The sequence below is a fragment of the Homo sapiens genome, chromosome 1, assembly GCF_000001405.40.
Source record: "Homo sapiens chromosome 1, GRCh38.p14 Primary Assembly".
Lineage (NCBI taxonomy): Eukaryota > Metazoa > Chordata > Mammalia > Primates > Hominidae > Homo > Homo sapiens.
The window spans coordinates 42,910,254-42,934,479 of record NC_000001.11 but is presented as its reverse complement, the minus strand read 5'-3'; the positions used below and the strand labels follow the sequence as shown (position 1 = coordinate 42,934,479).

The window sequence follows — 24,226 nt, the reverse complement described above, 5'->3', positions numbered from 1 at the left end:
GAGCACCGGAACCAGCAGTAGGAATTGGAAAACCAGGCGTGGCTTCTTCCCAGAAATCTCAGGCATCAAGAGGCAGAAACCCACTCCCCAGCCTCAGCTTGGCCAGGAAGTGCTGCTGTGGGCTGGAGAGGATGGGTCTAGGCCAAGGTGAACATGCAGAGAGCTGGCTGCTCACCCTTCCTCCACCCCATAAAGTGGTCTGAGTAACAGAGCAGCTAGGCAGCGTCCAGGAGCCAGCCCTGGACAAGGTTGGGTCCCTTTGACTGTGTGACCACAGGCAGGAGACGTAACTCAGGGTGGAGCTCTGGTCACACCTCACTTACACACAGCCCTCTTGTCAGTTGCCCCAACATCTCAAGAGATCTTCAAGCTTATTTAGGTAGTTTCAAGCCTTACTTAGCACCTATTTACTCTTTCTTTGTATACAATTCAAACAAATTCCATTTGCTGACTTCTTGGCAAATTTCAAAAGAGGTGTGGAGAGTTGTACAAGACAAGCCTCTGAACCACAGAGGGTTGGGGGAATACCTTAGAACTATGGAATGCAGAAATTTAGCCATCAGGAGCCAGTCTGCACAGGGACAAACACCTCTCCTTGCCCCTGGAGAGAGCCCCAAGGGCAGACACCATTGCCCTGCAGCCCTGCTTGTAGGTCTGGTTGCTCAGGAGAGCAAAGTGAAATCTCTTCACATTTTCACCCCATAATGGGTCAGGAAAGATTGGACCCTCAGAAGGGCAAGCGCCATTTATCTGGACCGTTCCCATATCCACCCTCATTCAGAGCAGCCTGTTCTTGGTGGAGCCTGATAAACGGGGCATTACCGTTCCCAACCAGTCCTCCTCTGGGGTTAGTTTCGTCCACAGAAGAACACTTTGCATTTTGTTACTCTGTTTTTTGTCAAAATCTGCCTTCTGTCTGCCCCCAGCAGAATCAAGGGGTTCTAAGAGGAGAGCCTAACACCTTTGGTTCGATTCCTCCATTTCCTCACCAGGTATCCCTGGCACTGGCTCTGGGACAGACCATGGTGTGAATCAACTGTCTTCCTCAGGGAAGACAAACTCCTGGAGTCAGGGAAACCTGGATCTCGAAAGGTTTCAGCAATAAGGCCAGGGGTACCTTCCAGGCAGGAGTAGTAGCATCTCAAAGGCGTAGAGGGGTGGGAGATGGTGTGTAGTGAGTGCAAAGGTGTGGTAGGTAGGGAGATTGGATTGATACCTGGCAGGAGCCCCGATTTTGAGTTACGGGTTGAAGGCTTGGGGAGACTCTGTTAGTGGTCTGCACAGCCTTCAGGCCACCAGTGTGCAGTGGGGTGATTTTAGGGATGATGACACCAAGCACTGTTTCACTGATTCCCTGCAGCACTGTGAAGCAGCTCCTGCTAATGTCTGCACTTTAGAAATGGGGCCATGGAAACTCACAGATGAAATAACTTGCTCATGGTCACACTGGAAATAAGGGGTGGAGCTAGGACCTGAATTTAGTTGTGTCCAGAATCAGAGTTCAGGTTTCTATTCACTGCCCTGCATGGCGTCCTTGGAACGGACAAGCAGATCCTTAGGGCTTGCCTCTGCCCTACCAACTGTCCTCGCCCCTTGGAGCCTGGCCTCCATCAGATGCCTGCTGACTTGGGACAGGTTGTGACAGGGCAGGGGAAAAGATGGCTAGAGGCTGAGCACCCACAGCAATGGGAAGGAAGGCACCAGGAGGCAGGCCCAGCATATTTGAATAGGTGGGCATTTCTGGGACTGCAGGCTTTGGTTTGGCAAGTGTGCCTGCCCACACCTTCTTCTTCTGCTAGACCTCAGTGGGTTGGAAGGGATAGGGAGGACCAACAGCAGTGATGGAGGCTGCAGAGGCTGCATACCGCTGTGTGTGCATGAACCTGTGGCATGCACACACACGGAGGGGTGTTGGGATGGGTTGGGTTCACATGGAATTGAGTTTGAGCTGTAAGTGGTAGGGGATGAGGGGCATGTGAGTTTGTGACTGGCTAAAGCAGGAATATTTAGATTCTATGAGCACGGGTATGTGTGTGTGATGGTATACGTGCATAAGAAGCCGTTTCTGGGTAACTAGGGCCTGCACTCTGCTATACGTGTGGCTGGGTGGGTCTGGCCAGTCCCATGGCACTGAGAGTGTGGTGAGTGTGCTCAGGCAGAACGGGTGCTGCCTGCCTACCACATCCGTGGGAGCTGGCCAGGGTGGGGGCAGGGCTGGTGGGCAGGGCTGCCCTAGGACGGGCGTTTCCAGTTCCTGGAACTGCTTCCTTGTGTGGAACCTTTCCCCATACCTCCTAGCTGGGCCCTTGGGAGAGGGGAGGAGGCCGTGGGTCCTTCAAGGGGGTGCTCGCAGGCCAGACACAAGGGAGCTAGGCCTGGGGAACAGAAAGCCACAGCGTGAGTCTTTCAAGCACTTCTGAAGGGTGACATGTGTGAGTTTGTCACACCAGGCCCTCAGTGCGGTCAGGGAGTCTGTACTTCCTGGATGGCGGAACCTGTCTGTCAAGCCCTGCTTCCTCCCCAGCAAGGGGTTGGGGGGAGGGCCTGATGGCAGGAGATGGGCCCCTGGGGCTTTGAGACATGGTGAGGAGAAAAGGGGCAAGTGGGAAGACCCTTTTCCTTCTGTATTTCTCTTTTTTTTTTTTTTTTTTTGAGACATAGAGTCTCACTCTGTCACTCAGGCTGAAGTGCAGTGGCACAGTCTTGGCTCACTGCAAACTCCGTGTCCTGGGTTTAAGCAATTCTGCCTTAGCCTCCCGTGTAGCTGGGATTACATGCTTGCGCCACCACGTCCAGCTAATTTTTTTTTTATTTTTAGTAGAGATAGGGTTTCACCATGTTGGTCTGGCTGGTCTCGAACTCCTGATCTCCAGTGATCTGCTTGCCTTGATCTCCCAAAGTGCTGGGATTACAGGCGTGAGCCACCACACCTGGTCTTGTACCTCTCTGTTCTATGCCTGAACTTCCACCACTGATCACTTGCCATCATCCCAGCAAGTCACACTGAGCCTGTGAAACCACAGGGCACTGGAAACCACACGTTAGGGGAAGTGGGAGAGTTGGCGGGGCTCTCAGATGAACTCCAACCCCTTGTTTCTCGCCTGGGGAAAGTGAGGCCCACAAAAATAGAGGGACTTGGCTCAAGAACATGCAGTGAATCTGTGGCAGAGCCAGGCCCTGGCCCTCTCTTAGGGAGGGGTGCAAGGGGAAAGGAAAAGGAAGACTGGGTCCTGGCCCCTGGCTTGCTCACCCAGGCTGCATCTCCCCCTGCAGGTGATCGAGGAGTTCTACAACCAGACATGGGTCCACCGCTATGGGGAGAGCATCCTGCCCACCACGCTCACCACGCTCTGGTCCCTCTCAGTGGCCATCTTTTCTGTTGGGGGCATGATTGGCTCCTTCTCTGTGGGCCTTTTCGTTAACCGCTTTGGCCGGTAAGTAGGAGAGGTCCTGGCACTGCCCTTGGAGGGCCCATGCCCTCCTGCCCAGGGAGTCCCAGATGGGGTGGGAGGTAGGGGAGACTTATCTGCCTGTTCCAGGGTATTACCTCTGACCCAGCCCCTCGGAGCCCAAGGAATGTGGGCACTGGCCTGACCTGTGACCCCGTCCCCAGGCGGAATTCAATGCTGATGATGAACCTGCTGGCCTTCGTGTCCGCCGTGCTCATGGGCTTCTCGAAACTGGGCAAGTCCTTTGAGATGCTGATCCTGGGCCGCTTCATCATCGGTGTGTACTGCGGCCTGACCACAGGCTTCGTGCCCATGTATGTGGGTGAAGTGTCACCCACAGCCCTTCGTGGGGCCCTGGGCACCCTGCACCAGCTGGGCATCGTCGTCGGCATCCTCATCGCCCAGGTAAGCTGGGGCAGGATCTACCTGCCTGGCACGGCCCCTGCCCACAGCTTCAGTGGCTCTCGGATCTGTGCCCAGCAGGGCAGAGTTTCTCTTCCGCCCAGCCCCCACAGCCTTGCAGAGGACAACTATGGTACACAGGTCCAGAGAACACAGCACCATGGCCTCCCAGTTGACAGCAAGATGACTTGACTCTTCTCAGTCCCTTTCTTCTCACTCTAGGCTTCCAACCACAGGGCCCGCCTTCCCCCAACATGCCGCAGGCTGTTATGCACAGTACCCTCTCTCCAGGAGGCTTCCCCTTCCCTGTCCCCAAAACCCTCTTGTGGCAGAGTAGCAGCCCCCATTCTCTGTGCTGGACACATCTGTGGCCTTGTCATTTGTCCTCCCAGCAACACTGTGGGGTAGGTCCTACTTTTCCCATGTGACCGATGAGGAAACTGAGAAACAGGGCTCATGCTAGTGGCAGAGCCTCTAGAACTGGGGCCCTTCCCTGAAGCAGCAGCTGACACAAAGTAGGGAAGGCCACTCTGGCAGGACGGGGTGGGAAAGGGGGTCAGGGCAGAGGCGCTCACGGCCCCTGCTTCCCCCAGGTGTTCGGCCTGGACTCCATCATGGGCAACAAGGACCTGTGGCCCCTGCTGCTGAGCATCATCTTCATCCCGGCCCTGCTGCAGTGCATCGTGCTGCCCTTCTGCCCCGAGAGTCCCCGCTTCCTGCTCATCAACCGCAACGAGGAGAACCGGGCCAAGAGTGGTACGGGCATGGCCCTGCCCTCCTCCCCACTCCCTGAGCCCTGGCCTTCTTCCCACTCTGAGCCACCCTCACCTTCCCTCCGGTCCCCCCAGTGCTAAAGAAGCTGCGCGGGACAGCTGACGTGACCCATGACCTGCAGGAGATGAAGGAAGAGAGTCGGCAGATGATGCGGGAGAAGAAGGTCACCATCCTGGAGCTGTTCCGCTCCCCCGCCTACCGCCAGCCCATCCTCATCGCTGTGGTGCTGCAGCTGTCCCAGCAGCTGTCTGGCATCAACGCTGTGAGTGCCCCCACCCACCCTTCCTGTGCCCCAGCCAAGCCCTCTGGTCAAGTGTGCATGGTGAACAAGTCCCAAACTTGAAACAACAGATACGCCTCTGCCGAAGAAGTTTCCCTTTAGACCCCAAGCCCGTAAGGTCACTGCAGTGCAGTGTCCCTTCTGCCTGAGTATTTGTCCCCTTCATTCTTTACTCATCCTGGGTCCCACATCCACTGCTACAGAGGCAGGGAAGGGCCACAATGTCCAGGTAGGCCCCAACAGTTTCTCTTGTCTGGCAGGTCTTCTATTACTCCACGAGCATCTTCGAGAAGGCGGGGGTGCAGCAGCCTGTGTATGCCACCATTGGCTCCGGTATCGTCAACACGGCCTTCACTGTCGTGTCGGTGAGTCTTTGCTTACTGGCCCCCCCAGCCAAACCCCAGGGAGGAGGCAGTGCCATCTTCCCCACTGGTCTTTGCAGTGCCCTGTGACTTTCTCAGCTCTTGAGGCAAGGCCTCTGGGTGGGTGGGTTCAGAAGGGCACTAGGCAGGGGTGGCACTGACACTGTCTCTGCCCACAGCTGTTTGTGGTGGAGCGAGCAGGCCGGCGGACCCTGCACCTCATAGGCCTCGCTGGCATGGCGGGTTGTGCCATACTCATGACCATCGCGCTAGCACTGCTGGTGAGTTGCTAGGTTCTGGAGAGTGAGGGATGCGGGAGAGTTTGCCTGGGCTTCATATCCCAAAATGCCTGTCTCAGCCCCAGGCTGGCAGGCCTTTTGGTGGCTGCATTCTCCCTGGCTGTGGGTCTGACTTTCTGGCTCCTGAAGTTGTCTCCTTCCAAACCACACACATCCTCTCTTGAACTTGCTCCTCCCTGCTTGATGGATTCTCAGCGCAGCACCTCTGGTCCCAGACCCCAAACTCTCACCTCCTTAAGGAATTGCTTTGCCTAATATTAACCCTTTCCAATCTTCATCTGTAGCCTCAATTCATCTTCACAGCAACCCCGGGAAGTAGTGCTGTCCTCCCCATAGAGGCGCAGAAACATGCCTTGCCTCATTCAGTTCACACGACTGGAGGTGTAGTTCAGTTCTTCCCATTTTATGGGGGAGGAAGCTTAAGTCCCAGTGAGGTTAGTAACTTGTCAGATAAAGGATGAAGCCAGGAATCAACCTCAGTCCCAGGCCTGTGACTGTGACCGCTGTGCTAACCCTGTGCCTGGCACTCACACACAGGCACTCGTTTATTTAGCCTCTGGGCAAGGAAAGCACCATGACTGTCATTTTACAGCTCAACCTGGGCTTGGAAAGTTTGGTGGTTGCCGAAAGGCCAGACAGGCAGCAAGTGGAAAGCCCATAAATTTTCTACCCTGGCCTCCTCAAGAATGGTTATATGCAGAACCGTATGCTTAGCGCTTACTCTGTGCCAGCCTGAGCTGGGCACCTCACACGCCTTAGAACCTGAATCCACCCCACCCCCAGGAATGTTCTGCATCCTGCCACAGGCGGACTGTGCTGCAGGCACAGACAGGGGACCATGGGGCCTCTTAGCACCGTCCACATGCACACCACATTACCACTCCCAGCGGGTGGACTCAACACTTGCAGCCACCCTGCAGGACTTAAATCATTTTGTTCGGATGAGGAAACTTAGGCCCAATGCTGGATACACAACAAATCCAGGACCATCCCCAGGCTTCCTGCCTTCTCGCATAGCTCTGCTCTGGCCTCTGTAGCTTCTGTTTCCCCTGAGGATCCATCACAACCCAGTCTAACTTTTCCCCCTCTCCGTCATCCTCAACAGGAGCAGCTACCCTGGATGTCCTATCTGAGCATCGTGGCCATCTTTGGCTTTGTGGCCTTCTTTGAAGTGGGTCCTGGCCCCATCCCATGGTTCATCGTGGCTGAACTCTTCAGCCAGGGTCCACGTCCAGCTGCCATTGCCGTTGCAGGCTTCTCCAACTGGACCTCAAATTTCATTGTGGGCATGTGCTTCCAGTATGTGGAGGTGAGAACCCCCACTGTCTCTATACTCACCCGCACGCATGACCCCACAGTGCTGTGCAAAGTGCTGGCCCAGCATTCTCATTAGGAATCATGCTGAGGAGGAAACTGAGGGTAGGAAGCCCAGGTCACATGACCAAGAATGCTGACCTCAACTCCAGGGTTCTCCCCTTAGCCTTGAATGGTGCTCCTGGAGCCTGTTACATTCTAGGTACAAGCGTGGTCTCAGTTAATTATGATAGCATCCCTGGGTAGGTGGATGTTCCCTTTTCAGCTCAAAGGCCCAAAGGTAAAGTGACTTATCCAAAGTCCTACAGCCAGGATGTAGGGTCATGACTCCAACCAAGTGTGTCTGTGTGTCTTTCAGCAACTGTGTGGTCCCTACGTCTTCATCATCTTCACTGTGCTCCTGGTTCTGTTCTTCATCTTCACCTACTTCAAAGTTCCTGAGACTAAAGGCCGGACCTTCGATGAGATCGCTTCCGGCTTCCGGCAGGGGGGAGCCAGCCAAAGTGACAAGACACCCGAGGAGCTGTTCCATCCCCTGGGGGCTGATTCCCAAGTGTGAGTCGCCCCAGATCACCAGCCCGGCCTGCTCCCAGCAGCCCTAAGGATCTCTCAGGAGCACAGGCAGCTGGATGAGACTTCCAAACCTGACAGATGTCAGCCGAGCCGGGCCTGGGGCTCCTTTCTCCAGCCAGCAATGATGTCCAGAAGAATATTCAGGACTTAACGGCTCCAGGATTTTAACAAAAGCAAGACTGTTGCTCAAATCTATTCAGACAAGCAACAGGTTTTATAATTTTTTTATTACTGATTTTGTTATTTTTATATCAGCCTGAGTCTCCTGTGCCCACATCCCAGGCTTCACCCTGAATGGTTCCATGCCTGAGGGTGGAGACTAAGCCCTGTCGAGACACTTGCCTTCTTCACCCAGCTAATCTGTAGGGCTGGACCTATGTCCTAAGGACACACTAATCGAACTATGAACTACAAAGCTTCTATCCCAGGAGGTGGCTATGGCCACCCGTTCTGCTGGCCTGGATCTCCCCACTCTAGGGGTCAGGCTCCATTAGGATTTGCCCCTTCCCATCTCTTCCTACCCAACCACTCAAATTAATCTTTCTTTACCTGAGACCAGTTGGGAGCACTGGAGTGCAGGGAGGAGAGGGGAAGGGCCAGTCTGGGCTGCCGGGTTCTAGTCTCCTTTGCACTGAGGGCCACACTATTACCATGAGAAGAGGGCCTGTGGGAGCCTGCAAACTCACTGCTCAAGAAGACATGGAGACTCCTGCCCTGTTGTGTATAGATGCAAGATATTTATATATATTTTTGGTTGTCAATATTAAATACAGACACTAAGTTATAGTATATCTGGACAAGCCAACTTGTAAATACACCACCTCACTCCTGTTACTTACCTAAACAGATATAAATGGCTGGTTTTTAGAAACATGGTTTTGAAATGCTTGTGGATTGAGGGTAGGAGGTTTGGATGGGAGTGAGACAGAAGTAAGTGGGGTTGCAACCACTGCAACGGCTTAGACTTCGACTCAGGATCCAGTCCCTTACACGTACCTCTCATCAGTGTCCTCTTGCTCAAAAATCTGTTTGATCCCTGTTACCCAGAGAATATATACATTCTTTATCTTGACATTCAAGGCATTTCTATCACATATTTGATAGTTGGTGTTCAAAAAAACACTAGTTTTGTGCCAGCCGTGATGCTCAGGCTTGAAATGCATTATTTTGAATGTGAAGTAAATACTGTACCTTTATTGGACAGGCTCAAAGAGGTTATGTGCCTGAAGTCGCACAGTGAATAAGCTAAAACACCTGCTTTTAACAATGGTACCATACAACCACTACTCCATTAACTCCACCCACCTCCTGCACCCCTCCCCACACACACAAAATGAACCACGTTCTTTGTATGGGCCCAATGAGCTGTCAAGCTGCCCTGTGTTCATTTCATTTGGAATTGCCCCCTCTGGTTCCTCTGTATACTACTGCTTCATCTCTAAAGACAGCTCATCCTCCTCCTTCACCCCTGAATTTCCAGAGCACTTCATCTGCTCCTTCATCACAAGTCCAGTTTTCTGCCACTAGTCTGAATTTCATGAGAAGATGCCGATTTGGTTCCTGTGGGTCCTCAGCACTATTCAGTACAGTGCTTGATGCACAGCAGGCACTCAGAAAATACTGGAGGAAATAAAACACCAAAGATATTTGTCTCTAGAGGCTCAGCTGACAAAATCTGGGAGAAGTTTGCTTTTGTAACTACAGGCAGGCTTTTTTCTCCCTGACATGAAGAGGGGTTGTAAGAAGGGTGTGAGAAAGGAAAACTGGTACTTAGCAAATGGAAATACCTATATGTATTACCATTAGGTATAAAGAATCTATGAGGACATCCATCTGCATCTCAACAAAGAAGAGCAGGTTGCGAAGAATATGCCCTGCCTGAGCCTGGGGACAGGGCGGTTAACTGGTGAAGGGCTGAGGCCAGATGAAAGGAAGCCTTATCGTGTGCTCCCAAAAGACTTCTGTTGAAAGGAGTTATCCGGGTCCCCGTGCGGGAGGGGGTGCGGGGGCAGGGCAAGAAGGAGAGGCCGGGGGCCCAGGTATCTTACTCCTACGACGCTGCTCACTCAGGGCTGTCCCCACTGGACCAGAAAGGAAACAGACGGGGTGGGGTGGGGTGGGGTGGGGTGGGGATGGGTGGGAGCCCCGCGCCGGTGGCCGGACGCGAGGACTACAAGGCGGATGGCGGGCGGAGCTCATTCACACTCGAGGGCCCAGAACGTTGGCAGAGCCAGGCAGCACCCGAGCCCCGCCCCGGCCCAGAGGTTCAGACCCCGGTCTGAAAAGGCCCGACAATCCACTCGCAGCTGCCTCCCGCCCTGGGTCAGTATCGACGTCCCCGAGCACCGCCATTTCCCAAACTGCAAAATGTCAGCGCAGGCGCAGGGAAGCCGGCCCGCCCTCAGCGTGGTCCAGAGTGCCGCGACGGCACAGCTGCCGGTCGGTCCCCTGACGCCTTTCCTCTAGGGGCCGCAATCCACCCCGGGGTAGAAGATTTGGGGCCAAGGTTCGGCCGCCTACTGCCGGGGTCGATGGCGCATCCTCTCCAGACCTCACAGCGGTCCCCTAAGCCGGGCCACCGGCGGCGCACGGACACGATTGGGGATGGGCGGGGCCAGGTGGTTTCTCCACCAATCAGAGGCGCATTGTTGGGCCCGACGAGGGGCGGGCTCCAAGACTCCACCAATCACACCCTGGCGGTTCCAGGCGCTGGCCCTTGGGGACGACCTGGGCGCCTGCTTGCCAGGCGATGCGGTTTACTCTGGAGGGGGTGACGGTGACTTGTGTATCGCTGGGCATCCCTGGGGACGTAGCTCACCCGGGTTCCTATCCCGCGTAAGGTGACGTCTACGGTTTCTGACGAAAAGGGGTAAATAGATAACGGGACTGTTCTCCAGGCCACCATCTTTTCCCAGCAGTGCTTAGTTGTTTCACTGACAGTGTTATGAGATCTTTCATTTGAAATCTTAGGCGCAAAATCTCCTCTCCCTGGAAGCCTTCTGGATCAGGTTTTCCCGGGAACACTACATCGGCTTGTATTTCCTCCATCAAAGCGCTCTCCACGCTGTACCGGAATTGAGTGTCTTTCCACCACATTGGGGGCGGGGGCGGGGACGAGGGCGGGGGTTGGGGGGGTAGGGCAGCTGCCGCAGGAACAGGACTGAGCCATTCCTTGGTCCCCACTTCCCACCACAGACTCTGGTCAGGATTATTGAATGAATGAAGTAGAATTTAGAAGCCAAGAAGTTCTGAAATCTGAATTCTTACAGTGCAATTTTAGGTAGACGATCTGACAATTCAGGATGTATTTAATAATAGGGAAAGGATATCATTCTTTTCTGTCAACTACATTTTTAATGACCCCTTTTTCATTCTGTGATTTTTATTTCATAAGTCTCCTACAGTTCTGGTCCGTCTGTCCATTGCAATTGCTGGGCCTACTGCTGGCCACTCATCACCTCTCCCAGGATCACTGCAACTGCCTTCTCACTGATCTCTGTGCTTCCTGCTTCCTCCTCATTCTCCACACTGCAATCGATGATCTTCCTAAAATTCAAATCTAGTTATGTCTCTCTCCTACTTAAAAACCTTCCTGGGTTCCTCATTTCTCTCAGGATAATGTCTGTGTTTCTTAACCTGAAAATTCAAGTCATTCATGATCAAGCTCTCGACCTCACCACTGCCCCCACTCAACCCCAACCCTATCCTCCAGCCATCCATCCACTCTGTTCTCTGATCACGTTCTCCTTCTCCTCTGGGCCTCTGAAGTTTCCTCCGAAGAGACTGCCCTCCCACCTACTCCTGTTATCCACTAGGTGATCACACCCCACCACAGCTCAAGGAGTGAGAGAACAGAAGCTGCTAGTTGGGAGTCTGGCTCATCCATTCATTGGCACATTCCTGCCAACTAGTGGCTGTTTTGTGAACATTTTGATCAGGGCAGGGTTTAACCTCACACTTTCAGGGTTTCAGAGATACTACGTTGCTTTGGAGGGAACCCTTGACTGGTCCTACTACAACAAATCCATCTGGTAACCCTGACCCTGGCTTCCCAAATGATCTTCCTAAAAATGTGTTCTGACCACATTATTCTGTGGGTTAATACTCCCCACTTTCTCATGATAAAGCCCAAATTCCTTAACCACATTCTGGCCTTTGCAGACCTTATCTTCCAATACACTCCTTCCACACCCTAATCTCCAGTGAAGCTTGATGTACTCTATGTTCCCAGGACAACTCCTCACCCTAAAACTTTTTGTTCAATCCCCTTTCTCCTGGTCTGCCTTTGGTCTCTCCATAAGATTATCTGATATCAAAATACCAAATTAGCTGTCACTTTCTCTATGAAGCATTTGCTCAATTCTTTGAACCATTACCTAACTGAGTACACACTTGTTGCCACGTTTTCTCCTCAGTTGTGCTGGGTCTTGGAAAAAATATGGTTTCTGGAGTCAGAAATAGCTGATTTAAGATTCCTGCACTGCTATTTAGCTGAATAATCTTGGGCAAGTCACTTCACCTTTCTGATCTTCTGTTTCTTTTCTGTTGTAATATTAAAATGAAATAATATATATTGTAATGCAGATATCGGCTGGAGTTACATCATCTTCCCCCTTCCAAATGTTTCAGAAAGTCTGGTAATCACCCCCAAGGTTTCTGTGAATTCCCAGGGATCTTTTGTTTTCTTTCTTTCTTTTTTTGACACGGAGTCTCCCTCTGTCACCCAGGCTGGAGTGCAGTGGTACCATCTCGGCTCACTGCAACCTCCACCTCCCGGGTTCAAGCAGTTCTCTGCCTGAGCCTCCCAAGTAGCTGGGATTACAGGCCCCCACCACCACACCCCACTAATTTTTGTATTTTTAGTAGAGACAGGGTTTCACCATGTTGGCCAGGCTGGTCTTGAACTCCTGACCTCGTGACCTCATGATCCACCTGCCTCGGCCTCCCAAAGTGTTGGGATTACAGGCATGAGCCACCACGCCTGGCCCCCAGAGATCTTTTATATATTTTTTTTTTTTTTTTTTTTTGAGACAGAGTTTTGCTCCTGTCATCCCTTGGCCTCTTTCCCAGCTCAGGCTTTGGGCCCAAACTCCAACCAGCTTGCCCAGTCCCCACTTTGCTTGTCAAAGGCCTTGACTAATGCTTTGAAATGACAGCTGGTAAGGACCTGTCAATTTACTTGGGCTTTCCTTTACCCAGTTTTTATCAGGGAGCAGGGGAATCACAAATTTCCCCTTAAAATGTGCGATCTCTTACAAAAGTTATTCCATACACGTTTGCATGAAGCAATGGATGAGAAGACTTAAGCGTGTTTATTAAGTGGTAATGGATTTCCTTTGTTCTTGGACTCACTGTTTTTGTCCTAGTCTCCTCATAAAGGACTGGATCCCAGTGCGTCACAATTGTCATGGACAAAGAGCTTGATTTTGAATTATGGTTCAAGAGGAAGGTGGTTTTGACCCCAACCTAGGATATCAGTTTTTCCATCTTCTGCCACTGTCTCAAAACGAATTCCACATCTCTGTCTTTCTTCTAGAGTAGTTATCTTCAAATTTTTTTGCTCACATACTTCCTAAAAGAATTTTGAGGCCAGGCCTGGTGGTTCACACCTGTAATCTCAGCACTTTGGGAGACCAAGGAGGGTGGATCACTTGGGCTCAGGAGTTTGAGACCAGCCTGGACAACATGGCGAAACCCTGTCTCTACAAAAAATACAAGAGTTAGTTGAGTGTGGTGGTGCATGCCCATAGTCCCAGCTACTCAGGAGGCTGAGGTGGGAGGATTGCTTGAGGCCAGGAGGTCAAGGTTGCAATGTGTGAGCTATGATCACACCACTGTACTCCAGCCTGGGAGACAAAGCAAGAACTTGTCTCAAAAAAAAAAAAAAAAAGAATTTGAAAAACTATCTCTTTGCTTATTTTTAGATTGAAGTTACAAATTTGTCTTCTTAAATTCAAATATTTGCAGGAGATTTAATTTCTGATATGTGATATTGTCATTTTATTTTATTTTATTATTTTTTGAGATGCTGTCTCTCTGTGTCCCCAGGCTGGAGTGCAGTGGCATGATCTCGACTCACTGCAACCTCCACCTCCTGGGTTCAAGCAGTTCTCCTGCCTCAGCATCCTGAGTAACTGGGATTATAGGTGCCTGCCACCATGCCAGGCTAATTTTTGTAATTTCTTTTAGTAGAGACGGGGTTTAATCATACTGTCCCGGCTGGTCTCGAACTCCTGACCTCAAATGATCCACCTGCCTCGGCCTCCCAAGGTGCTGGGATTACTGGCATGAGCCACCGTGTCAGGCTGATATTGTCATTTTACAATAAAACTCTTACATTACTCTTCTTTATATATTCAAACAATATACCACAGTGTTACTATATCCATATCCACAAAATAGGAGATTTTGTATATATATTATTAGATTTATACATAAGTATTTCAATATGGGGGGTGCTAATATAATGGTAGTATGTTTTAATTTCCACTTGTTCATTGCTGGCATATAGAAAGCAAATGACTTTTGTATATTAACCTTGTATCCTGCAATGTTGCTATAATTAATTGCTTATTAGTTCCAGTGGTTATTTTGTAGATACTTTTGGATTTTCTATATAGACGATCATGTCATCAGCCAACAACAACAGTTTAATTTCATCATTACCAATCAGTATACCTTTTATTTCATTTTGTTGTCTTGTTGCATAAGCTAGGACTTCCAATACAGTGTTGGAAAGGAATAGTGAAGAGGACATCCTTGCCTTGTTCCTGATCTTAGCAACAATAATGCTTCACATTTTTCACCATTAAGTATAATATTTAGCTGTAGGTTTTTTGTAAACATTCTTTAATCAAGTTGAGGAAGTTTCCCTCTATTTCTAGTTTCCTGAGAGTTTTTATCAGGAATGAATGATGGATATTGTGAAATACTTTTTCTTTCTTTCTTTTTTTTTTTTTTTTGAGACAGACTCTCACTCTGTTGCCCAGGCTGGAGTGCAGTGGTGCAATCTCAGCTCACTGCAACCTCCGCCTCCCAGTTCAAGTGATTCTCCTGCCTCAGCCTCCTGAGTAGCTGGGAGTACAGGTGTGCACCACCACACCCAGCTAATTTTTGTTTTTTAGTAGAGATGGGGTTTCACCATGTTGGCCAGGCTAGTCTCGAACTCCTGACCTCAAGTGATTCATCCGCCTCGGCCTCCCAAAGTGCTGAGATTGCAGGTGAGAGCCACCACGCCCAGTCCTGTGAAATACTTTTTCTGTATGCACTGATATGACCATGTGATTTTTCTTCCTCCTCTTCTTCTTCTTCTCCTTTTCTGTCTTCCTTTTCTTCTTCTCCTTTTTTTTTTTTTTTTTTTTTTTTTGAGACAGAGTCTCACTCTGTCACCCAGGCTGGAGTGCAGTGGCGCGATCTCGGCTCACTGTAGCCTCTGCCTCCCAGGTTCAAGCAATTCTCCTGCCTCAGCCTCCCAAGTAGCTGGGACTACAGGCACATGCCAACATGCCCGGCTAATTTTTTGTATTTTTAGTAGAGATGGGGTTTCAACGCGTTAGCCAGGATGGTCTCCATCTCCTGACCTTGTGATCTGCCCGCCTTGGCCTCCTGAAGTGTTGGGATTACAGGCGTGAGCCACCACGCCTGGCCTTTGATTTTTCTTCTTTAGCCCGTTGATGTAATTACATATAGATTACATTAATTGAGGGTTGTTTTTTCAGGTTTTGTTTTTGTTTTTGTTTTGTTTTTAAGACAGACTCTCTCTTTGTCACCCAGGCTGGAGTGCAATGGGGCAATCTCAGCTCACTGCAACCTCTGCCTCCTGTGTTCAAGCAATTCTCCTGCCTCAGCCTCCGGAGTAGCTGGGATTACAGGTGCCCACCACCACACCCAGCTAATTTTTGTATTTTGGTAGAGATAGGGTTTGGCCATGTTGGCCTGGCTGGTCTCAAACTCCTGACCTCAGGTGATCTGCCTGCCTCAGCCTCCCAAAGTGCTGGGATTACAGGCGTGAGCCACCACGCCCAGCCAATTGTGTTTTTAATGTTGAACCAGGCTTGCATGCCTGGAATAAATCACATTTGGTCATGTATATAATTTTTTTAATGCATCATTGGGTGTGCTTTGCTAATATTTTGTTAAGGATTTTTGCATTTATTTTCATGAGAGATACTTGTCTGTAGTTTTCTTTTAAATTTATTTATTTATTTTAAATTGACAAATCGATTTGTAGTTTTCTTGTAATGTATTTGTCTGGTTTTAATATTAGGGTAATACTGGCCTCATAGAATGAGCTGTTTCTATCTTCTGGAAGATGTTTAGAAAATTGGTATAATTTTTTTCTTAAATGTTTGGTAGAATTCACTAGTGGATCCATCTGAGCCTAGTACTTTTTGTTTGAGGAGTTTATTATTTATTGATTCTGTTTCTTTAACAGATGCAAGCCTGTTTCAGATTGTCTACTTCTTGTGTGAGTTTTAACAGATTGTGTCTTTCAAGGAATTGGTCCATTTCATCTGGGTTGTCAAATCTGTGGGCATAGAGTTGTTCATAATATTCATGTATTATTCTTTTAACATCCATGGGATTTGAATTGATCTCCTCTCTTTCATTTTCAGTATTTGTAATTCATGTCTTTTCTCTTTTTTTCTTAGTTAGCTTTGCTAGAACCTTATGATTTTACTGATTTTTACAAAGAAACAGGTTTTGGTTATGTTGATTTTCACTATTGATTTCCTGTTTTCAATTCATTGATTGCTGATATAATTTTTATTATTTATTTTAATCTGATTGCTTTAAAACTGTGTATAGAATCCTAGGTTTTTGGCTTTTTCTCTTTCAACACTAAGTATTCCACTCCATTATTTTCTTGCTTACGTGATTTCTGAGAAGAAGTTGGATATAATTCTTATTTTTGCTCCCCTATAGGTAAGTGGCTTTTTTCCTCTGGCTTCTTTCAAAATTTTTTCTTCATCTTTAATTTTCTGCAGCTTGAATATTATATGTCTAGGTGTAGTTTATTTGTTTGTTTGTTTTTGGCATTATTTTGCTTGGTTATTTCTGAGCTTCCTGATCTGTGGTTTGGTGTCTGGCACTAATTTGGTGAAATTCTCAGGCATTATTGCTTCAAATGTTTCTGTTGTTCCTTTCTCTCTTTCTTCTTCAGGTATTCTCATTATGCCTATATTATACTTTTTGTAATTAGATATTCTTTCTCATTTTTTTCATGTCTTTTTTCTCTTCACTTTCAGTTTTCAAAGTTTCTGTTGACATATCCTCAAGCTCAGAGGTTCTTTTTTCTCCAGCCATTTGCAGTGTACTAATGAGTCCATCAAAAGCTTTCTTCATTTGTTAGTGGTTTTTTTCTTATCTCTATCATTTCTTTTTTATTCTTTCTTATAATTTTTATCTTTCTGTTTAAATTGTCCATCTGTTTTTGCATGTTATCTACTTTTTCCATTAGAGCTCTTAACGTATTAATCATAGTGAGAGGTGACAACGTGCTAGCAGCCCTTGCTCGCTCTCAGCACCTCCTCGGCCTTGGCATCCGCTCTGGCCATGCTTGAGGAGCTCTTCAGCCTGCCGCTGCACCGTGGGAGCCCCTCTCTGGGCTGGCCGAGGCTGGAGCCAGCTCCCTCTGCTTGCAGGGAGGTGAGCATGGAGAGTCGCGGGCGGGAACTGGGGCTGCCCACAGCACTAGCGGGCCAGCGTGAGTTCCGGGTGGGTGTGGGCTCTGAGCCCCGCAGTCAGAGTGGCCGGCTGGCGCCGCTGGCTTAGGGCAGTGAGGGGCTTAGCACCCGGGCCAGCAGCTGCGGAGGGGGCGCCGGGTCCCCCAGCACTGCCGGCCTGGGCCACACTCGAATTCTCACCAGGCCTCAGCTGCCTCTCTGCAGGGCAGGGTTCAGGACCTGCAGCCCACCATGCCCAAGCCCTGTGGCGGTGGGCTCCCACGCAGCCCCAGCCTCCCCGACGGGTGCCGCCCCCTGCTCCGCAGTGCCCAGTCCCATCAACTGTGCAAGGACTGAGGCATGCAGGTGCATGGCACGGGACTGGCAGGCATCTCCGCACCCAGCCCTGGAGCGGGATCCACTCCGCGAAGCCAGCTGTGCTCCTGAGTTGGATGGGGACTTGGAGAACTTTTATGTCTAGCCAGAGGATTGTATATGCACCAGTCAGCACTCTGTCTCAAGTTCAGGGCTCGTGGATGCACCAATCAGCACTCTGTATCTAGCTAATCTGGTGGGGACTTTGAGAAACTGTATGTCTAGCTGAAGGATTGTAAATACACCAATCAGCACTCTGTGTCTAGCTCAAGGTTTGTAAATGCACCAATCAGTGCTCTGTGTCTAGTTCATCTGGTGGGGTTTTGGAGAATTTTTACCTCTAGCTAGAGAATTGTAAATACACCAATCAGCACTCTGTGTCTAGCTCAGGGATTGTAAATGCACCAATCAGCTCCCTGTCAAAATGGACCAATCAGCTCTCTGTAAAACAGACCAATCAGCTCTCTGTAAAATGGACCAATCAGCTCTCTGTAAAATGGGCCAATCAGCAGGATGTGGGTGGGGTCAGATAAGGGAATAAAAGCAGGCTGCCGGAGCTAGCAGTGGCAATGTGCTTGGCTGCTCTTCTGTGGTGTGGAGGGTTTGTTCGTTTGCTCTTTGCAATAAATTTTGGTGCTGCCCACTGTTTTGGTCCCCATTGCCTTTATGAGCTGTAGCACCGTGAAGGTCTGCAGCTTCACTCCTGAAGCCAGCAAGACCACAAACCCACCAGAAGGAGGAAACTCTGAACACGTCTGAACATCAGAAGAAATCAACTCTGGACACACAACATTTGAGAACTGTTAACAGTCACCGCGAGGGTTCGCAGCTTCATTCTTGAAGTCAGTGAGACCAAGAGCCCACCAATTTCAGACACAATAGTAGTTTTAAATTCCGATTAGGGGAATTCCAACATCCCTGCTATGTCTGTGTCTGCTTCTGATGGTTGCACTATTTGTTCAAGCTGTGGTTTTTTTTCTTTTAATGTGCCTTCTAATTTTTTTGTTGGAAAAAAATGAGCAGTTTTGTACTGGGTAAATGGAACTGTGGTAAATAGGCCTTTAGAGCCTGGGGAACAGAGTGAGACCTATCTCTAAACAAACAAACAACAACAAAACCTTAACTAAGCATGTCTGTAGTCCCAGCTATTTGGGAGGCTCAGGCAGAAGGAGCACTTGAGCCTAGGAATTTGAGGCTACAGTGAGCTATAATTGAGCCACTGCACACCAGCTTGGGCGACAGAGTGAGACTCCGTCTTGGGGGAAAAAAAAAGATATAGATCTTTAGTAATGTAGAAGTGCGGTGTTGCAGGAGGGAGAAGTGTTCTACAGTTCTATTATTAGGTCTCAGTTTTTTGGTGAGGCTTTGGGTCTAGGCTGTGAACTTCACCAGTGCTTCTCAGCTTTTGTTTTTTCCCCTTAGGTGGGGGCAAAACCACTAGAGGAGACTGAAGTTGGGTATCTCCCTTCTCCTACAGGGAAGCTTAGAGGAAGCTGGAGTTGGTATTTCCTTTCCCCCAGGTGGGAGGCTGCAGACTGCTGGAGTTGGGTATTTCCCTTCCCTGGGGTAGGTTAGGCTCTGGCAAAATTCTTTCTCCTGAGGGTAGACCTTTTTAAAAACAACAGAATGCTTTGGCATACTGCAAAATGGTTTATTTCCCCTCCCTCTGCTAGAAGCATGAAGGGATTTTTCTCTGAGATTTACTGTGAGGATCTGGTAGAGCTCTGAGAGGTAAAAATCACAAAAGTGTTGGGGCATCTCCATAACTCAGTACCCCTGGAATGTTTTTTTTCTTTTGAGACAGGGTCTTGCTCTGTCACCCAGACTGGAGTGCAGTGACATGCTCATGGCTCACTGCAGCCTCAACCCCTTTGGGCTCAAGCGATTCTCCTGCCTTAGCCTCCTGAGGAGCTGCGACTAGTGGAGTGCACTACCAAACCCAGCTAATTTTTAAAGTTTTTAAAGAGACGGGGTCTTGCCATGTTGCCTAGCCTGGTCTTAAACTGTTGAGCTCAAGCAATCCTCCCACCTCAGCCTCCCAAAGTGTTGGGATTACAGGTGTGAGCCACCATGCCTGGCCCCTGGTGGAATTTTTAACTCTCTGAGTTGTCCACACTGTTTCTCCAAAAATTGGGGCAGTTACAGTTTAGGTTTTCCTATTCCTGTTTTCAAACCTCCTGTAGAGGCTTCTGCTCATCTGTTGCATTTCCAGTAACTTGTGACTGCCTGTATTTCCTGTCTCTCCAATTTTGGCGGCAGCAATCTGCCTAGTGGTCTCATTCCTCTAACAAATCTAAGAAGAGTTGTTCAGCTTTTGTTTGGTTTTGTTATTGTTGCTCAGCCTTTTAACCTGTTTAGATGGAGTGTTACCTTCTAAGCTCCTTACATGCTGGACCGGAAACCAAATTTCTGTCCTTCGTTTCTGAAGGACAGTTTTCCTGAATACTATTCTTGCTTGGCAGGTTTTCTTTCAGTGCTCTGAATATATCATCCCACTCCCTTCTGTCCTGTAAGGTTTCTGCTGAGAAATCTGCTGATAATTTTATAAGAGCTCCCTTGTGCTTGATGAGTCACTTTACTCTTGCTGCCTTCAGAGTCTCTCTTTGACTTTTGACAGTTTATTATGTGTCTCAGGGATGGCTTCTTTGGATCATATATTGTATCCCATAAGTCCCTTAGGCTTTCTTAACTTTTCTTCATCTTTTCTTTTGTTTCCCCTGACTCAGTAATTTCAAATAACCTGTCTCAAATTTCCTGATTGTTTCTTCTGCTCAATTAGATCTGTTATGATCCCTTCTAGTGAATTGTTCAATTCAGTTATTGTTTTTTTCAACTCCAGAATTTCCATTTGGTCTTTTTCTTAACAGATTCTTTTTTTTCTTTTTAGAGACAGGGTCTCACTCTATTGCCCAGGCTGGTCTCAAACACCTGGGCTCATGTAATCCTCCTGCCTCAGCCTCCCAGAGTGCTGGAATTTCAGGCCTGAGCCACTGCACCCGGCCTCTGCGTCTTTGTTGGTATTCTGGTTTTTATGGGTCACTTCCTGGTTTCATTTGTGTATCTGATTCTCTTGTAGCCCACTGAGCCTCTTTAAGATGATTATTTTGAATTCGTTGTCAGGTAATTCATAGATCTCTGTTTCTTTAGGGTTCCATTTCTGATACATAGTTGGTCCTCTGGACCATGTTTCCCACTATCATCATATGTCTTGTTATTTTTTGCAAGAGTTTGTGGATTTGAAAAAATGACCATGTCTTCCAGTTTTAATGGATTGGCTTCATAAAGGGGAAAACCTTAAACATTCAGCTCAACTAACAGTTTGGGGGAGTGGTCTCTCAAACCTTTTCTGGAGATACGTATTCTTGGGCTTGTGCCTGTGATTTCCCAATTCGAGAGGTTTGCTGGTGTCTTTTCAGAAGCTTGTGGTCTCTTGCTCTCTCTGGTGTCTGTCTACAGTACTGCAAGTTCTCAGGGTCTACAACAAGCTGTTGATGTCTCTTGTTCTCAGCAGTCCCCAGGGGATGTGTATGTATGTATGTATATATATATATGTGTGTGTGTGTGTGTGTGTGTGTATGTGTATATATGTGTATATATATGTGTATATATGTATATATATGTGTATATATGTATATATGTGTATATATGTGTATATATACACATATACATATACACATATATGTATATATATACGTGTGTGTATATATATATATATATATAATTTTTTTTTTAACTTTATCAGCACTCAGTGTCAGGCAAGACAGAAACCGGTCCCTCAGGGAGCCCCCTGAAAAGCCTGAATGTTGGACGCACATTCTACTCTTCTGTTTCACTCTCAAGGTAGAAGCTTCAAGTTGGGCATTTACTCCTGAAAGCACCAAGCTGTACTGGCTTTGGGAAAGGGCTATTGTAGGTTAAATGAAAATGTTTCTTCTTACCCATTTTAATATAGCTGTTCTTGACTTTGAACTTGCCTCAGGCACTAGTTTCTAGAATTCTCATAAAAGCTTTTTGGACCATATATTAAGTCAGTGTCTATGGAGGAACAAGGTCTGAGATGTCCTATTATGCTGTATTACTGATGTTACTCCTCTCAGGAAGATTAGTTTTTGAAAAGAGTACATGCAGAAAGTAAAGATCGGGATTTGGACATCGATTCCCTTAAAGCTAAATATGTTCACATATTCCTTGGAAATTTTTTTGGACATCCACAGGTATGAATACCCAGTTTGAAGATAACCTTTTTGGAGGATTCAAATTAGTATTCTTTTGGCTGCCTTTGGGATTTTGTTTCCTAAGTCTGCCTTGAATGTGCTCTCAAAATACCTACTTCCTATACTGGATCTCTTCCACCCCCAAGCTGGGCACCTGGGTCAGAGGATGTGTCTGGCAGGCTTTGAATGGTATAATGGTTAATTTTATGTGTCAACTTGACTGGGTTAAGGAAGACCCAAATGGCTAGTAAAACATTATTTCTGGGTATGTTTTTAGAGTATTCCCAGAGATTAGCATTTGGGTCAGCGTACTGAGTAAAAATGATTCACCCACCCTAGTGTTAGCAGGTCTTATCCAACTCATTGAGGGCCCATCTGAATGGAATAAAAAGGTAGAGGAGGGGGGAATTCTCTCTCTCTCTCTTTAGCTGGGACATCCATTTCCTTCCTTTGGACATTGGAGCTCCTGATTCTTAGGCCTTCAGACTTCAGGAGTCAGAGCAGCAGCCACCTGGGTCTCAGGCCCCCAGCCTTGGATTGGGAGTTATATCATTGGCTCCCCTGTTTCTCAGGCTTTCAAATTCACACTGAATTTCACTACCATATTTCCTGTTTCTCCAGTGTGCAGGCAGTATATCATGGGACGGACTTCTTGGCCTCTACAATCACTTGAACCAATTCTTATAATATATCTGCCCTTAATATCTGTATAAATATCTTATTGGTTCTGGTTTTTTCGAGAACCCTGACTAATGCAGATTTCGATACTGAGAGTGGTTCTAGAGCAACAGAATTTTAAGGATGAGTTTGCTGAATTGGTTTTGGGGCTTATGGAATTGGCTCTTCAATCATCTTAGATTTCAAGATGCTAAGGACTCTATAGTAGTCTATTGCATGAACTATTTATAAAGATATGCATTAGATGCTCCTAGTTTACCAAATATAAGAAGTAAAAACCTAAGTAACTCTGTATATGATACTTTCAAACGTTTTTGGAAAACCAAGGAATATAATGCCATTGGTTGGTTGCTCCTAATGTCACTGAACAAAATGGTGAAAGAGGAGGATGAGCTCAGAGATTCAAATTACCAGCTTGAGCTTCAAATAAATGATCTAAGAGCTTCTACATGTGCCCTGAGGGAGAGCCTTATCTCCTAAAACCTCAGTACTGAAATTGCTGCAAATGAAACAGAAGATTTCATCTTGTAATTGGCTGAATTACAATGCAAATTGAACACGCAGCCTTACTACAGGGTGTAAGTAGGCAGCCTTACACCCTGCCTACTGTTGAAGTGAGGGTATTCATTGGGAAATAATGTCCCATCCAATATATTAGGATGGGGACTTAGGGGAAGACCCTAATGAAGCTGAGGACATTGAGTCTTAAATCCTGATAAGTCTCTTTTGCTAGTGGAAGAGTTCTTTCCACCCCCAGAAAAAGTTGCCTGCCTACTCTCAACAGAAGTGGCTTCCCCAACCCCAGCAAAAGTGGCTTCCTTACTCCCAACAAAAATGACCTCCCCCACTGCAGTGGTACTGGCTTTTCTACCTCTGCCCAATGGGATTAATCCTAAATTGCCTGAGGGATGGTAGTGGCCTCCACTAAAGCAGTTGCTAAGCAAGATAATGTTGATTCTTCTCAGGACTCATCCCCACCTCTCCTCTTTCTTCTACACCCCTAACTAGACTCAAGTCCCAGCAGGCCCTTAAAGTGATTTATGGCTCATGAGAAGATATGTTATATTCCAAAAGAATTATTTGAGTTTTCTTCTTATATAAGCATAAATTTAGGGAATGTGTGGGAATGGATATTAAAAGTATATAATAATGGCAGAAGGAACATAAAGTTGGATGGCCTAATTTATTATTTTCCAATCCTGCTCCTTCTTTACAGGCCTAATTTATTGATATGGACCCACTAAGCAGAGATTCTGCATTTAATGTTGCCTCTTGGGGAAGTTAGGGCTCTAATCATTTGTTTTTTGGCTGAAACATGGATCAAAAGGTGGCCCATGATGAGCGAGTTGGAAATGCCCGATCTCTCTGGTTTAATGTAGAGGAAGGGGTTCAAAGGCTTGGGAAAATTTGAATGTTACAATGGATTTGTCATTTAAGACCTACTAACCCATACAAAGAGAGTCCAGAAGTCATATCTTGCACAATACTTTCAGAAATAAATTTATGAGGGTGTAGTCCCAGCACTTTGGAAGACCAAGGCGGGCAGATCAGTTGAGGTCAGGAGTTTGAGACCAGCTGGGCTAACATGGTGAAATCCCATCTCTACTGAAAGTAAATACACAAAAAAATTAGCTGGGTGTGGTGGCGGACACCTGTAATCCCAGCTACTCAGGAGGTTGAGGCAGAAGAATCACTTGAACCCAGGAGGTAGAGGTTGCAGTGAGCCTAGATCACGCCACTGCACTCCAGCTTGGGTGACAGAGCAAGACTCCATCTTTAAATAAATAAATAAATGAAATTTATGAAGGGTTCTCCAACATCCTTGATCACTCTCTTCTGTA

At 47.8% G+C, this 24,226-nt stretch overlaps 1 protein-coding gene across 1 annotated transcript in view, besides 7 other annotated features; it reads left to right on the top strand.

The window, feature by feature from the left end:
• SLC2A1 (solute carrier family 2 member 1) overlaps positions 1–9,127 on the top strand; it is a 33,516-nt gene extending 24,389 nt beyond the window's left edge. The window contains exons 3-10 of the mRNA NM_006516.4: positions 3,274–3,434; positions 3,614–3,854; positions 4,445–4,607; positions 4,700–4,887; positions 5,166–5,270; positions 5,447–5,548; positions 6,672–6,875; positions 7,239–9,127. Of these exons, the coding sequence (NP_006507.2) occupies positions 3,274–3,434; positions 3,614–3,854; positions 4,445–4,607; positions 4,700–4,887; positions 5,166–5,270; positions 5,447–5,548; positions 6,672–6,875; positions 7,239–7,439 (1,365 nt within the window). The 3' untranslated portion in view covers positions 7,440–9,127. The remainder of the gene's footprint in view (positions 1–3,273; positions 3,435–3,613; positions 3,855–4,444; positions 4,608–4,699; positions 4,888–5,165; positions 5,271–5,446; positions 5,549–6,671; positions 6,876–7,238) is intronic.
• Positions 2,172–2,341: an enhancer, noted in NCBI's record as "active region_902". NCBI's record gives its function as "activates an Ori minimal core promoter by ATAC-STARR-seq in GM12878 lymphoblastoid cells {active_cell/tissue: GM12878}" and the evidence as "EXISTENCE:reporter gene assay evidence [ECO:0000049][PMID:35858748]".
• Positions 4,612–5,252: an enhancer, noted in NCBI's record as "H3K4me1 hESC enhancer chr1:43394899-43395539 (GRCh37/hg19 assembly coordinates)". NCBI's record gives its function as "activates a minimal SCP1, AML or CMV promoter by ChIP-STARR-seq in naive H9 embryonic stem cells {active_cell/tissue: H9 hESC(naive)}" and the evidence as "EXISTENCE:reporter gene assay evidence [ECO:0000049][PMID:30033119]".
• Positions 5,253–5,895: an enhancer, noted in NCBI's record as "H3K4me1 hESC enhancer chr1:43394256-43394898 (GRCh37/hg19 assembly coordinates)". NCBI's record gives its function as "activates a minimal SCP1, AML or CMV promoter by ChIP-STARR-seq in naive H9 embryonic stem cells {active_cell/tissue: H9 hESC(naive)}" and the evidence as "EXISTENCE:reporter gene assay evidence [ECO:0000049][PMID:30033119]".
• Positions 6,927–7,426: an enhancer, noted in NCBI's record as "H3K4me1 hESC enhancer chr1:43392725-43393224 (GRCh37/hg19 assembly coordinates)". NCBI's record gives its function as "activates a minimal SCP1, AML or CMV promoter by ChIP-STARR-seq in naive H9 embryonic stem cells {active_cell/tissue: H9 hESC(naive)}" and the evidence as "EXISTENCE:reporter gene assay evidence [ECO:0000049][PMID:30033119]".
• Positions 9,798–9,887: an enhancer, noted in NCBI's record as "active region_901". NCBI's record gives its function as "activates an Ori minimal core promoter by ATAC-STARR-seq in GM12878 lymphoblastoid cells {active_cell/tissue: GM12878}" and the evidence as "EXISTENCE:reporter gene assay evidence [ECO:0000049][PMID:35858748]".
• Positions 10,308–10,437: an enhancer, noted in NCBI's record as "active region_900". NCBI's record gives its function as "activates an Ori minimal core promoter by ATAC-STARR-seq in GM12878 lymphoblastoid cells {active_cell/tissue: GM12878}" and the evidence as "EXISTENCE:reporter gene assay evidence [ECO:0000049][PMID:35858748]".
• Positions 11,094–11,213: an enhancer, noted in NCBI's record as "active region_899". NCBI's record gives its function as "activates an Ori minimal core promoter by ATAC-STARR-seq in GM12878 lymphoblastoid cells {active_cell/tissue: GM12878}" and the evidence as "EXISTENCE:reporter gene assay evidence [ECO:0000049][PMID:35858748]".